Below are 12,965 nucleotides of genomic sequence, written 5' to 3'. Positions count from 1 at the left end.
CATAGGTTATTTAGGAGCATATTTTAAAATTTCCAATATTTGGGCATTTTTCAGATATCTTGGTGTTTGGTTTTGAATTTAATTATATTATGGTCTAAGAAGAGGCTTTTTATTATTTCTATTTTTTTTTTCAATTTGTAAGCTTTGTTTGATGGCCCAGAATACCATCTATCCTGGGAAATATTTCATGCACACTTGAGAGGAATGTTTATTCTGCTGTTGTTGAATGCAGTGCTTTTCTCATTATTTTAATTGGTCAGAGTAGTTAATGGTGCTTTTCAGGTCATCTATATCCTTCCTGGTTTTCTGCTTACTTTTTCTCCTAAATACTGAGAAACAATTTAAACAGTTTTGACAAATGTGTAGTCCCATGAAATCACAACCACATAGAAGGTGCAAAATATATTCATACTCCCCAAAAGTTTCTTCCTGTCCTTTTGCTGTCAAACCATCCCTTCAGTAGAGGTGACCCAAGGTGAGCAGAAGTGAGCATCTGCCAACCATTAGCATTTTCCCTATTAACAGAGGCAGGCAGGCACAGAGAACAGCAGTTGCTTTCACACACAGGCAACATCCAGGAGGAAAACCAGATTGATAGTGTCATAGAAAGAGCGCTTGCTTGCCTGGACACAGGCTGTCACTCCCTTTGTTGCACACTGCCTGTCCCCAAGTCTGGCTCTGCCTTCCTGGACTCCCTGGCTCAGATGGGCGATTCACACCTCCTCTCCATCTCCCCCATCCCCTTACAGACAGTATTAAGGGCCTTGCCACTTTCTTTTGTTTTGTTGACTTGCTGTTTCCTCAGCATATATTCAATAAAAGTTTTCTGTAGGAATCAATAAGTGCATGAATGAATGAAATTACCAGGCATGGGAATTCATTGATTCAAAACGTGGAGGCTGCCCCTGCCTTGGCCTCCCGCCTACCTGAAGAAACCCACAGTTCCATCACCTGTGCTCACTTGAGTTTAGAAATCCCCTGGAAACTATCATTGAGAGCATCACTGCAGATGCCTACTCCCCATGCCCAAACACTATCATGGAGGTGAGGATGCTCCCAACAGTATTGTGCATGATGCCTCCTGTATTGGACCCCACACGTCCCCATCAGTTTAACAAGGAAGGGTGCCATCTGCACTGCCTTGCCATCCAACCTGCTCACATACACACCTTGGACCAGCCCTCTACCCCAGGCACTGTCTGGTGGCATCATAGGCCAGTGATTAGAGCCCCAGGATACCTGTCTGCTTTTGTCTCAAGAGCTCAGAAGCCTCAGAAGTCCATCTGAGACATGGTCACCACCTGGATCATTCTCATTGCACATCCACAGCCAATCCTTCATCTGCAGAGTCGGAGCTGACTAGTCCTAGGGTACTCTTCCTCCAAATTCCCCTCCATGCAGCCTTGCTGCCACCCTCACCTTCCACTGCTCATAAATATTTCTGGCCTGTCTTGGCTGTTGCTCAAAAGTTAGCAACCCATTCACATAGTCCAGGCTCCATGGAGAGTTCACAGGGGATAAAACAGCAGCCCCCAGCAGGCATGAGACAACTCCCTGCCCCGGGACGCTGGAAATGGTACACACGACCACTGGAGTGGTCAAGAGAGGGAGCTTGCCCGGAATGATGCAGGGAGCCAGCCATACTCTTCGTGAGAGAGGGAAGGGGATTCTGAGGGAGGGTTGGGTCTCCAGCACATCGCTGGTGCATTCCATCAACAGGCCTGCCCATTCAGATCACACGGCCCCCTCCAGCTAGTGATGATGGTGCTGGAATTTCCCAAGCCTATTCATTTTCATTGTCCTGCCCTCCCTCCTCTCTTCCCCCTTCTCTCCCTCAGGTCCCTGCCTCCACCGGGCTGAACTCTGGATTCAGACCTCTGAATGCCAGCCTGCCTGGGGAAATGTGGACTTGGTTTCATATACGGTCTCTCTCATGGACTCTGGCCATTGCTCTCCCCTTGTATTTGTTCATTTTCATACTGCTATGAAGAAATACCTGAGACTGGGTAATTTATAATAATAAAAAAAAGAGGTTTAATGGACTGACAGTTCTACATGGCTGGGAAGGCCTCACAATCATGGCAGAAGGGGAAGGAGGAGCAAAGATATGTCTCACATGGCAGCAGGCAAGAGAGCATGTGCAGGGGAACTGCCCTTTGTGAAAACATCAGATCTCCTAAGACTTATTTACTACGGCGAGAACAGCATGGGAAAAACTTATCCCTGTGATTCAATTACCTCCCACCTGATCCCTCCCATGACACGTGGAGGTTATGGGAGCTACAATTCAAGATGAGATTTGGGTGGGGAAACAATCAAACCATATCAGTGCTGGATCCTCCCGATTACCCTCATGGGCTGAGGGTGTCCTGTCTGCTCTCCTTCCCTGGCTCCTGTTCATTCTGACCAATTCCTTCTCAAAGCACAAGAGAAATGTCCTGTCCCCATTTCAGAATGTTAAACCATGCCTAGAGAAATGTTACTCAGGATGTCACTGTATAAATCCAACTTCATATGGGTGAGGGATTAAGTTAGTGTGTACTTAACCTAATTAGAGAAAGCAAAGACACAAAATAACAGTGAAACAATATTTCTTCACTAAATTTTATTCATAATTTTCACCAAAAATGAGAAGATTGATAACACAAAATCTTTCTGTGAGTGTAGGATATTCACATCTATTAATTTGTGAGAAAATTAATTGGTACAGTATTTTTGGAATAAAATTTTGACAATACTTCTAAAAAGTTAAACTATTCACACCATTTCCACTTTAACCCAATGTCCATGTTACTATATCTTTCTTATTGGAAAGCATGCATATCTGTCCAAAAACGTATGTTTATTTCAGTTCTATTAATCATAGCAACAAATGGGAATGAACGTATGTGTTTATCAGGAAAGGAAAGGTTTAATTAACTATGGCACACACCTACTTTAGAATTCTAGGGAATACTTACAAAAGTGATGTCGATTGTAGGTATAGTTGTGGGAAGACCTTGCGTTCATCTTATTACGTGGCAAAGGCATGTGACATATCAATACGTGCATCACTACCTGTGGGTGTTAAAACACTATATATTTTCATAAAACATCCATGTCTAAAAAAATCCTAGACTGAGCTTTAAAATGCTGCCCACGGATCTCATCCTCCACACTCTTCTTCATCAAATCACCACCAACTCTTACCCTTCTCCCTCCCTCTCAACTAAGGGAGCAACATCACCAACCTCAGAAGTCAGGTCAATAGAGATTCTCTCCATCAGTTCACAGTCCCTCACTTCCTAAAACTCTTCCGTGTCTTTCCACCTCACCATCTCCCTCACGCCCCCCATAGACTGAGTTAAGGGCACTGCTGCTTTCTTGTGTTTTTTTGACTTGGTGTTTCCTCAGCATATATTGAATAAAAGTTTTCTGTAGGAATCAATAAGTGCATGAAATGAATGAAAGTACCAGGCATGGGAATTCTTTGGTTCAAATTATGGAGTCGGTCTGGCCTGGGCCTCCGACCTGCATGAAGAAACCCACAGTTCCTTCACCTGTGCTCACTTGAGCTCAGAAAAACCCGTGGAAACTACCAACGAGAGGGTCACTACAGATGCCTTATCCCCAGGCCCAAACACCGTCATGGAGGTGAGGATGCTCCCAACAGGATGGTGCATGATGTTTCCTTTATTGGACCCCACACATCCCCATCAGTTTAACAAGGAAGGCTGCCAACTCCAACGCCTTGCCATACAACCTGCTCATGTACACACCTTGGGCCAGCCCTGTACGCCAGACAGTGTCTGCTGGCAACATAGTCCAGCGATCACTGCCCTACGACACCAGTCCTCTTGTGTGCCAAGAGTTCAGAAGCCACAGAAGTCCATCTGAGACGCAGTCACCACCTGGTTCATTTTCAAGGCACGTCCACAGCCAATCCTTCATCTGCAGAGTCTGAGCTGACTAGTCCCAGGGCACTCTTCCTCCCATTTCTCCTCCATGCAGCCCCACTGCCCCTTTCAACTGCTCATGGGCATTCCTGGCCTGTTTTGGCAGTTGGTCATCAGTCAGCAACACACTCACATAGCCCAGCCTCTATGGAGGGCCCCCAGGGGATAAAACACCAGCCCCCAGCATGCATGAAGGCCTCTCCCAGATCTGGGATGCTGGCGAAGGTGCAAAGGACCACTGGAGGGTTCAAGAGAGGTAGCTGGCCCAGAATGATGCAGGGAGCCAGCCAAACTATTCCGGAGAGAGGGAAGGGGATTCTGAGGGCGGGAAGGTTGACCAGCACAGCCCTGGTGCATTCAGCCAACAGGCTTACCCACTCAGATCACAGGGCCTCCTCCAGCTGGTGATGATGGTGCCAGGATTTCCCAAGCCTATTCCTGTTCATTGTCCTGTCCTGCCCCCTCCCTTCCCCCTTCTCTCCCTCAGGCTCCTGACCCCACCGGCCTGAAGTCTGGATTTAGAGCTCGGAGTGCCAGCCTGCCTGGGTCTCAGTGGACTTGGTTTTGCATGTGCTCTCTGTCATTGACACTAGCAATGGCTCTCTCCTGGATCCTCCCTGGATCCTCCCTCACAGGCTGAGGGTCTCCTGTCTGCTCTCCTTCCCTGGTTCCTCTTCAGTCTCACCAAATCCTTCTCAAAGCAGAGAAGAAATATCCTGTCCACACTTCAGAATTTTAAATCAATTGTGATTTTTATGAGAATTTGAATTGGTACAGCATTTTTGTAATAACATTTTAGAAATATTTTAAATGTTAAACTATTTTCACCCTTTCACTTTAACCCAATGTCCATGTTAATATAGCCTTCTTATAAGAAAACCATGTTTGCCTAAAATTCATAGGCAGAGATGTTTATTTTATTCTATTTATCATATAGCAAATGGGAAACAACTTATATGTCCATTAGGAAGAAAGAGTTTAATTAATTTTGGTGCATGTCTACTTTAGAATTATAGAAAGTGGTTTCAAAAGTGAGAAAGATCTACCTGTCTCTATCTATCTATCTATCTATCTATCTATCTATCTATCTATCTATCTATCTATCATCTATACTGTTGTCGAAAGATCCTACATGCATTTTATAAAGTGATAAAAGCAGATCAGTATGTATGTCATTGTTCTTGTATATTGAATAAAAATAATATATTGTTATAGTTTGTCAGTGAAAAGCCTAGAGTCAGCAGTAAAATAATACACAACATTGTTAATTGTGGTGACCTCTGCGGGGGGGCGGGGGGTGTTGTTAACTGTGGAGGAGCTTTGTAAAAAAAAAATTGTGAATTATCTACATTTCTATCATTTTTGAAATAAGAATATATACCAAACTACATTTTAAATAAAAAATATTTAATACTGACAACAGAAATACTAGCCGTGTCAGTTTAAGTAATTGCTAGCTGATGCAACAGAACAACCATGAATGGCTTGACACAACAGAAGTTTATTTTATGTGCAAATAAGTTCTGATGCGGTTTGGCAGGGGCTCTCCACTCTCACATGACCCAGGGATCCAAGCTGCTTCCACCTTTTGATTCCGTCATCTCAAGATGAAGCTGCCATGTTTGCTGTTGAAAGCGGAGAGAAAGCATGGAAATGGCACACTGGCTCTCAAATGCCTGGATGTGACAAACAATGCTTCTGCTCCTGTATTGGTGTAAAGGAAAAGTCACATGATCCTAACTGCAAGGACTTTACTGTTCCCATGTGTCCAGGAAGGAGACAGAGACAAAATGTGGGTGAGTACTATACCCTTCCCCATAAACTGTTACATAGTGGGTGCTCAACAAAAAGCAACTATGATCATTTGGTATTATACTACCCTTCTCATTTCTAGGAGGAGTTTCTGAGAAGGCCAAATTTACCTTGAAGTTCTCCAGCGTTTTCCAGTGTCAAATATGTGACTGATGTTTTCAAACATACGATCACAACTAACTGTTCAAGAATCTTGAAAGTCTCAGCAGGAAGGCTTTCCTTTGTAATATCCTTTAAATCCTTAGTAGGCTGAGAATTGTTCCTCCATTTGATTCCTGGTCAAAATGTTAACCTGTGAATTTCTGCTACCCTCCACACGCCTGTACACCTGTCGAGGTAGGCACGCTGAAGGCCAGTATTTTCCTGTGGAGCAGGTAAACAGACAAGAAACAGAAGGCTGCTTAATTATTCCTCTTTCATTAGAGTTGACGTGTTTTCAAGGTATAGTTTTTAAACTCCTGGAGGACTCCAGAAATTTAGGAATTCAGCCTCAGTAAGTAGATGTTTGTTCCACTGGGGTTTCCCAAGGTTTTTCTCATCTAATACTCATGAGAGACGGTTTGCTCTTTGATCATTTATCTGTGCATGTATTCAGAGGCGAATTCCAAAAGGACGCCCTGTGAAAGTCCGATTTCAAGTATCAAGGTGGTTCCAAATCCCTCTAACTTCAGGGTGACATCACACAAGAACCCTTAGATAATATGGCGAATCAGACTCCTCAGCCCATTCAGAAAACGATTAGAGAGTGTGTTGAAGACAACCAGAGTGGTAACCAAGTGTCTAAGCGTCACTGTCCCCGTGTGAGTTTTTATACAAAAGGGTTTTTGACATCATATGGCTTCCTGGGTGAGAGACGGAACAGCCAGAGGACTTCTACTATGAGAAGGAATGCTCCCTGTCAGGAGGTGAGCAGGGGATTCTGGGCTGTTCTGTGAGGATCAGTGAGGAGCTGATCAGCAGGCCCTATAGGTTCCAGAGTCAGACAGGACACATGGAAGTGACCCGGGGAAATGTGCTGTAATTCTGAAAGTGCTGGGGCTGCAGAGAAATGCCCACAACTGGGCAGAGTTAGCTCTCAAGGAACCTAGCGCACACCAGCCCCAAATGGTGTTTGATTCTCACTGTCGCGTTCTCCAGGCCTGCTTCATTATGCTGGCCTCAAGGTCCTTCTTTTTGTCACCTGAGAGACATGGTGCAGTGCTGAGAAGAAAAATGAAGTCGCTGTCAGGAGGTCAGCCTCGGGCTCGGAGAAGTGGGGACAGCATGGGCTCTAAAGGAATTCATGCCAGGGGTCTGGTTCCAGCCCTGTTCCTTACTAGCCACGTGATACTGAGAAATACCCAGGAAATACCCTGTTCTTATATCCCAATTCACAAGCTCTGTAAGCCCTGGATTCTTCATCTGTAAGCAGATGTGATAAGGCCTGTCTAGTAGGACAGTCGGAGTGTATGCAACGCAGGTGAACCACCTGGCTCCGGGCCTGGTGTAAATTGGAAGTTTCACAAATGGCGGATGGCTGTTATTTCCAATATGCTTTAACCCGAGGCCCGAACACTGGGATTTTGTTGTTGTTGTCGTTGTTCTCCAGGACTTATCAGAGAACATACAGCTCAATAGGACATGGAATAATTAGCCCCAAACAGAAGCTTCTTCCATAAAATTCAGTTAAGTATTTCCTCTTAGAGAATGCACTTCAAAATTTGGTTGTGCGGGAGTTTTGCCCAGCCAGGTGCAGCTCAAAGCTCCTAGAATGTGAGTCAAAGACCAACTCCTTCCCTCTCTCCCAGCTGCTTTCCCATCCAAACCACTATATTCATCCACTTTGTTACCATCCAGAATCTAGCCCGTGCTTACAATTGGTCAAATTGCACTTGAGATAACCTAGTTAGAATGCCTTTTTAATGGAGTCAGCTCTGGCTCTCCCTGCCTGGCAGAAAAGCACCTGGCCGGCCGGGCGCGGTGGCTCACGCCTGTAATCCCAGCACTTTGGGAGGCCGAGGCGGGCGGATCACGAGGTCAGGAGATCGAGACCATCCCGGCTAAAACGGTGAAACCCCGTCTCTACTAAAAATACAAAAAAAATTAGCCGGGCGTAGTGGCGGGCGCCTGTAGTCCCAGCTACTTGGGAGGCTGAGGCAGGAGAATGGCGTGAACCCGGGAGGCGGAGCTTGCAGTGAGCCGAGATCCCGCCACTGCACTCCAGCCTGGGCGACAGAGCGAGACTCCGTCTCAAAAAAAAAAAAAAAAAAAAAAAAAAAAAAAAAAAAAAAGAAAAGCACCTGGCCAGTGGCTTCTGGGTCACCCTTCCTGGGAAATTCAGCCTTATCGCTCAGGAAACCCTTGCAGATGATGGGTGTCCATCACCTAGATCTTGGGCTGTGTTCAACAGCATTGGGCAAAAACACAGGACACCTTCCATTCCAGCCCCAGGTGGAGATTCCTCTCTCTTCATCCCCATCCTAAAGAAACTGCTCAGGGTAGCATTCCATTCCAGGCTTTTCTCTCACCCTCTGAGAATCTGGCCCTGGACCCACCGGGCATCATTAGAATCAGCTCCTTCAGAAGGAACTGCAGGTTCCCAGATCCCAAATTGCCCCAGCTCAGGGCATTTATACTCACCACTCTCACCTGGAACCCCACACCCTCACCCCTGTCTTACATTTCCACTACATCCTAGAGGACTTCTCGCCACCTTAATTACATGACTGCAGCTCCTAGACTCTATGACCCTATGGGTAGACGTGAGTCTGGCTTACCTTAGAATCCCCACTACTACCAGGGCCTTCCACAGAGCAGATGCTGAGTGAATGGTAAAGAAATGAGCCAGTGAACAGGAAGAATTATTTATTCAGATTTAATTTCTTTTGCATTCTCAAAGAAGCAAAAACATACACATATTTTTAATTTTACATAATAGACTGAGGTATAAGGCAAGAATTAACTATCTTTTGAGTTCCTTGTATCATGTATTTTACTGCTAATTCGTTCACAATATAGGCAAATACATATTCCACTGCTGTTATTATGTGACAACTCACAAAATGGAATGGATTTCCCAATCTGAATAAAAAACAGGACTCTTACCCCTAAACTATATAAACAGCACTATGTGTGACTACTGTCATTCATAAACTTGGATGCTGAAGTTCATCCAACCATTTGTTAAAAGGAACATTTGAACAATTCCAACAGGAAACAAAGATAAATCTCAAAGTCATCCAACAGAACAGAAACTCACTGCTAAGAATGCTGACTGCTCTCTTCAAAGAGGCAGGAATGGGCCTCATATCACACGAGGCAGTGGAAGCTAATGGATGGGGCCCTGGAAGGTGCACTGGCCCAGACCCCCTCCCACTGGCCCTGGCTGCAACATGTGCTGAGACTCACTCTTCTCCCTCTCTCAAAGCCCGTTCATGCAGGGGTGGGTAGGAAATGTGAGGTTCTCCACCGATCTTTAGTGTATGGTGCAGGACTTTCACATAGCTGGTTTCAATGAGGGCCCTTGGACCCCACAGGAACTCGTAGCATGCAGGATCACTGCCGGGCACCTGCCGGTACTCCAGGTAGTTTTCCTGCACCAGATCTTGCATGAGCAGCTTCCTGGGATGTGCGAAGACACTGTCCTCCCTCCCCTCAAACACCTCCAACATACTCAGCTCCTCCCAGATTTTCTCCTCAGGGGCACAGTCGCCCTCTATTGCGATTATGGCCAGGACGATTATCAGGAGGCCTGTCTTGGGCATGACCTGATTGTCGCCCAGCAGGCCATCGTAGGAGAGGCCCAGGCAGGTGACAAGGATGTACAAGTGGCTGATGGGGACCACTTCCACCACCTCGATGCCAAAGACCAGCTGCAAGTACTCGGAGGCTTTGCTGAAGATCACGGGAAAGAAGTCCTGGCAATTTCTGAGGACACTCTCCAGCATTTCTGCCTTTGTGACCGGCTCCCTGGCTCGATACTTGAGGAGCAGAAAATGAACCAACTCAACCATCTTCCTACTGATTGCTGCTTGGAACTCGGACTCCAGGTCGGGAAACATTCTTGGCCCCTCCTCTTCTTGGTTGCTGGAGCCCTCATCGGATTGTCTCCAAAGAGTGTAGTTGATGGTAGTCGAGAAGCTGGAGGCTCCCTGAGGACTGTGGGGAGGACTCGGTGAGTCGGCAGCAGGCACCTCCCCCAGGGTAACTTCCACTAGAGTAGAAGAGGAAGAAGCGGTCTGCTGCTCCTCAGTAGCAGGAGCCTGCGCACCCACCAGGCCCAGGGCCTCTCCTCGGGCCTCAAGGCCTTCTTCAGGCTTGCAGTGCTGACTCCTCTGCTCAAGAGGCATGATGACTCTGGTCAGGGCAGCAGGCAGGAGTGCGGGCAGGAGCTGGGCAATGAAGACCCACAGGCCTGGGGAGAGAAGGAGCGTGTGTGAGGCCTTAGGTGAGAACTGAACTGAACCTTGGAGGCTCTGACAAAGGCTTACTTACAGATCTTCTCCTTCAATGCTCCTCCAGTGCCTCGGGTCCTACTTGTCAGCCTGTCCCCCTCAGAACCTGAAGGAGGAAGTGGGAGGGCACCTCAGGGTACAGCCGGCCAGCACATGCTCAGGCTGCAGGACTGAGAATAGGGAGGGTGAGGCCAGGCCCTCTGGAGTCCCATTTGTTCTGGGCGGGTGGGGCCCTTGGTGTGCATTCCAGGCAAACCTTCAGTGTTGGCACTGTCTGCGTCCCCTCTGCTCTGTGACCTGAGGACACTGACTCAGACCAAGGCCTCACTGCCTGGTTCCTGGAGCTCCTGATTCCTGGGAGAGGAATGCACGGGCCTTCAGTGTGCAGACTGCAAGCACAGCCACGGATTCCCAGAAGTCTCAGCAGGGTTGGCCAGACTCCGTGAGGTCCCCACTCTACTTGGGTGGAGGGTCCCCTCTGTGCTCACTCAGGGCCCTCACCTTTCTCCTTGTAGGGCCTAATCCCACCCTTTTGCTGGCTTGAGAATCTCTCATGTCAAGAACTCACATCCCTGATATGGTACAGAAGGAGATGAGGGGACCCACATCTGGCCATACGTGACCAGGTCCTCCCGCGAAGGACAACGAGAGATGTCCAAATTCATTGGAGTCCAGGTGTCCTGGGTGACGAGTCCGCTTGGTCCTCACGTCCACTCCTGGCAGGGCCTGAGACCCTCCCTCTACTGACCTGACTCCAGCCCCTTCAGACCAAGGCCTCCCCTTCCCTGACATCAAAGATCCCAGGATAATGGAGGGACTTCAGCTGACAGCCCTGCCCAGGGTCTCTGAAGTAACCGCAGGGGCAGGGCAGATTTCTATGGGGCCCCCTGTCTGCATTCTGGCCCAGGAGTACCCTCAATCCTACCTCAGGCTCTCCACCTGGATGCTTGGCAGATCCTAGAACCACTGCATCTGTCGACCAGATGGGGGCCCCTGTGTTGACCTGAGTCACCTTCTGAAAACAAGGTCATCAACTCCCTGAGATCTGGAAACAGAAGTGAGGAGGGGCCACATCCTGTTACCCCCACGTGCGTTGTCCAGGGCTGACCCCTTTGGTTCTAGGGTGAACGTTATGATGGCCTCCTGTGGGTTACTCATCTTTACTCCTGCCAGGGACTGCCCTTTCTCAACCCCCAACCCCCTGAAATGAGCAGACAGCTCCTCTTTACACCAACACCTTATCTCCCTGAGGGTTCCCCAACCTCCTGCCTGTGGTACAAATGAGATTGTCACTTAGGGCCATCCCTGATCAGGTTCCCCCAGAGCTAAGAACAAGGGACGGCCAGACTCTGTGGCATCCCTTCTTTCTGGGCCGGGGGTATCCCCAGTCCTCATGAAGGGGGCACACCTTGGGTCCGGCAGATCCTGGGATTCCTCCCTCTGCTGACCTGAAGTCCCAGCCCTCAGACCACAGCCCTCAACTCTCTGTCACCCTGAAGGTGCAATGAGCACGGGGCACATTCGGCCACTGTGCCCAGGATCCCCCAGCCCAAGGTTGCCACTGATCTGGACTCCAAGGTCCCCTCAGTCCTCCCTCTTCTTCCTCCCCTTGACTCCTCGCAGGGCTGGGCCCCAACCCCCTGCTGAAGTGGGTCTGCATCCCTAGGATTCCCGCGGCTGAATGAAAAGGTGGCTCAGTTTGAGACAGGGGTACAGTGGGCCCCCTGTCCTGGCATGCTGGGTCCCCTAAGGACTCCACTGTCTTCCAGGAGGGCCTGGGCCCTTCCTCTGCATCCCAAAGGCCATACTCACGAGACCCAACCCCTTCCCTCCCTTAGCCGTACATGTGAACGTCAGGATCCGCGTGCTTGGCCGCCATTCCCGGAGCTTCCGTGGGTTGATTGCAGGGGCAAAGCCCGGATTCTGCCAGGATGGTGGTGGGGGAGGAGATGGGAATGGGGTTTGGGGGTGGGGTTGGTGTTTGAGGGATGGGGGTGGGGTTGGTGTTGGGGGATGGGATTGGTAGTGAGGGTAGGGGGTGGGTTGCCCTCAGTCCCCTCTTGGGGTCCTGACCTTGATTCCTGGCTGAGTCTGGGCCCTGAGCACTTCTAACCAGCCCTGCCCTGGTCACACAAAGCTCTTACGCCAGAGTTCCCTGCGGTTAAAGCGGCGGGGGGTGGCGGGGTGAGGTGGTGGCGACTCAGCCTGAGAAGTCTTCCCCTGCAGGGTGGTCCAGGCCCGGCAGCAGAGGCAGCGCTGGATTATTGGGGGCCCTCTGTCTGGGGTGAGGCCCGCCTCAGTCCTCCCTCGGCGTCTTACCTTGCCTCCTCACGGAGCCTGCGCCTGCTTCCCTCCGCCGACGTCAGGCCGTTGCTCAGGGCGAGAATCTCGCTGTCCTCTGACCTCCAATGCGCAAGTCAGTGGCGTCACATCCGGGCCCGTGACTTCCCTGGGTTCACGGCAAGGGTGGAACCGGATTCTGCCCGGATGGGGATCTGGATGGGGGGGTGGGGGTAAGCATGAAGATGGTGTTGGTGTAGGGGTAGGGATTGGGACGGGGATCCTGAGGCTGTAGATCCTGGTGGGGTCGGGGGAGTTGGGGGTGGGAGGGGCCTTTGGTCATCCCTCAAGGTCCTGACTTGGATGCCAGACTGAGCCTGGACCGCCATCCTCTGCCGATTGTGTTTGCTCCCCTCAGACCAAGTCTCTGACTCTGAGTCGGCCCGAAGTGGCATTGGGGGGAGGGGTGTGCTCGGGGTGAGATCATTGCCAGTGTGTACCAGGG

The 12,965-nt window shown here is 49.3% G+C and overlaps 1 protein-coding gene across 7 annotated transcripts; it reads right to left on the bottom strand.

Annotated features, from left to right (window-relative positions):
* Positions 8,575-12,596, bottom strand: MAGEA2B (MAGE family member A2B). 7 transcript variants are annotated; one of them, NM_001321401.1, is made up of 6 exons: positions 12,500-12,596; positions 12,254-12,335; positions 12,025-12,103; positions 11,106-11,225; positions 10,221-10,286; positions 8,575-10,140 (listed from the first exon to the last, which is right to left on the bottom strand). In NM_001321401.1, the coding sequence occupies exon 6, from the start codon at positions 10,073-10,075 to the stop codon at positions 9,131-9,133; it is 945 nt and encodes a 314-aa protein (NP_001308330.1). In that variant the 5' UTR covers positions 10,076-10,140; positions 10,221-10,286; positions 11,106-11,225; positions 12,025-12,103; positions 12,254-12,335; positions 12,500-12,596; the 3' UTR covers positions 8,575-9,130. The 7 variants fall into 7 exon arrangements, with proteins under 7 accessions (NP_001308330.1, NP_001308329.1, NP_001308331.1 ...); NM_001321400.1 differs by lacking the exon at positions 12,254-12,335 and adding an exon at positions 10,437-10,534; NM_001321402.1 differs by lacking the exons at positions 12,025-12,103; positions 12,254-12,335 and adding an exon at positions 10,437-10,534.
* Between the last annotated feature and the right edge of the window lie 369 nt (positions 12,597-12,965).

This window comes from Homo sapiens, chromosome X, assembly GCF_000001405.40.
Source record: "Homo sapiens chromosome X, GRCh38.p14 Primary Assembly".
Classification (NCBI taxonomy): domain Eukaryota; kingdom Metazoa; phylum Chordata; class Mammalia; order Primates; family Hominidae; genus Homo; species Homo sapiens.
Note: the sequence above shows the minus strand (reverse complement) of the source record. Positions and strands in the feature narration are given on the sequence as shown.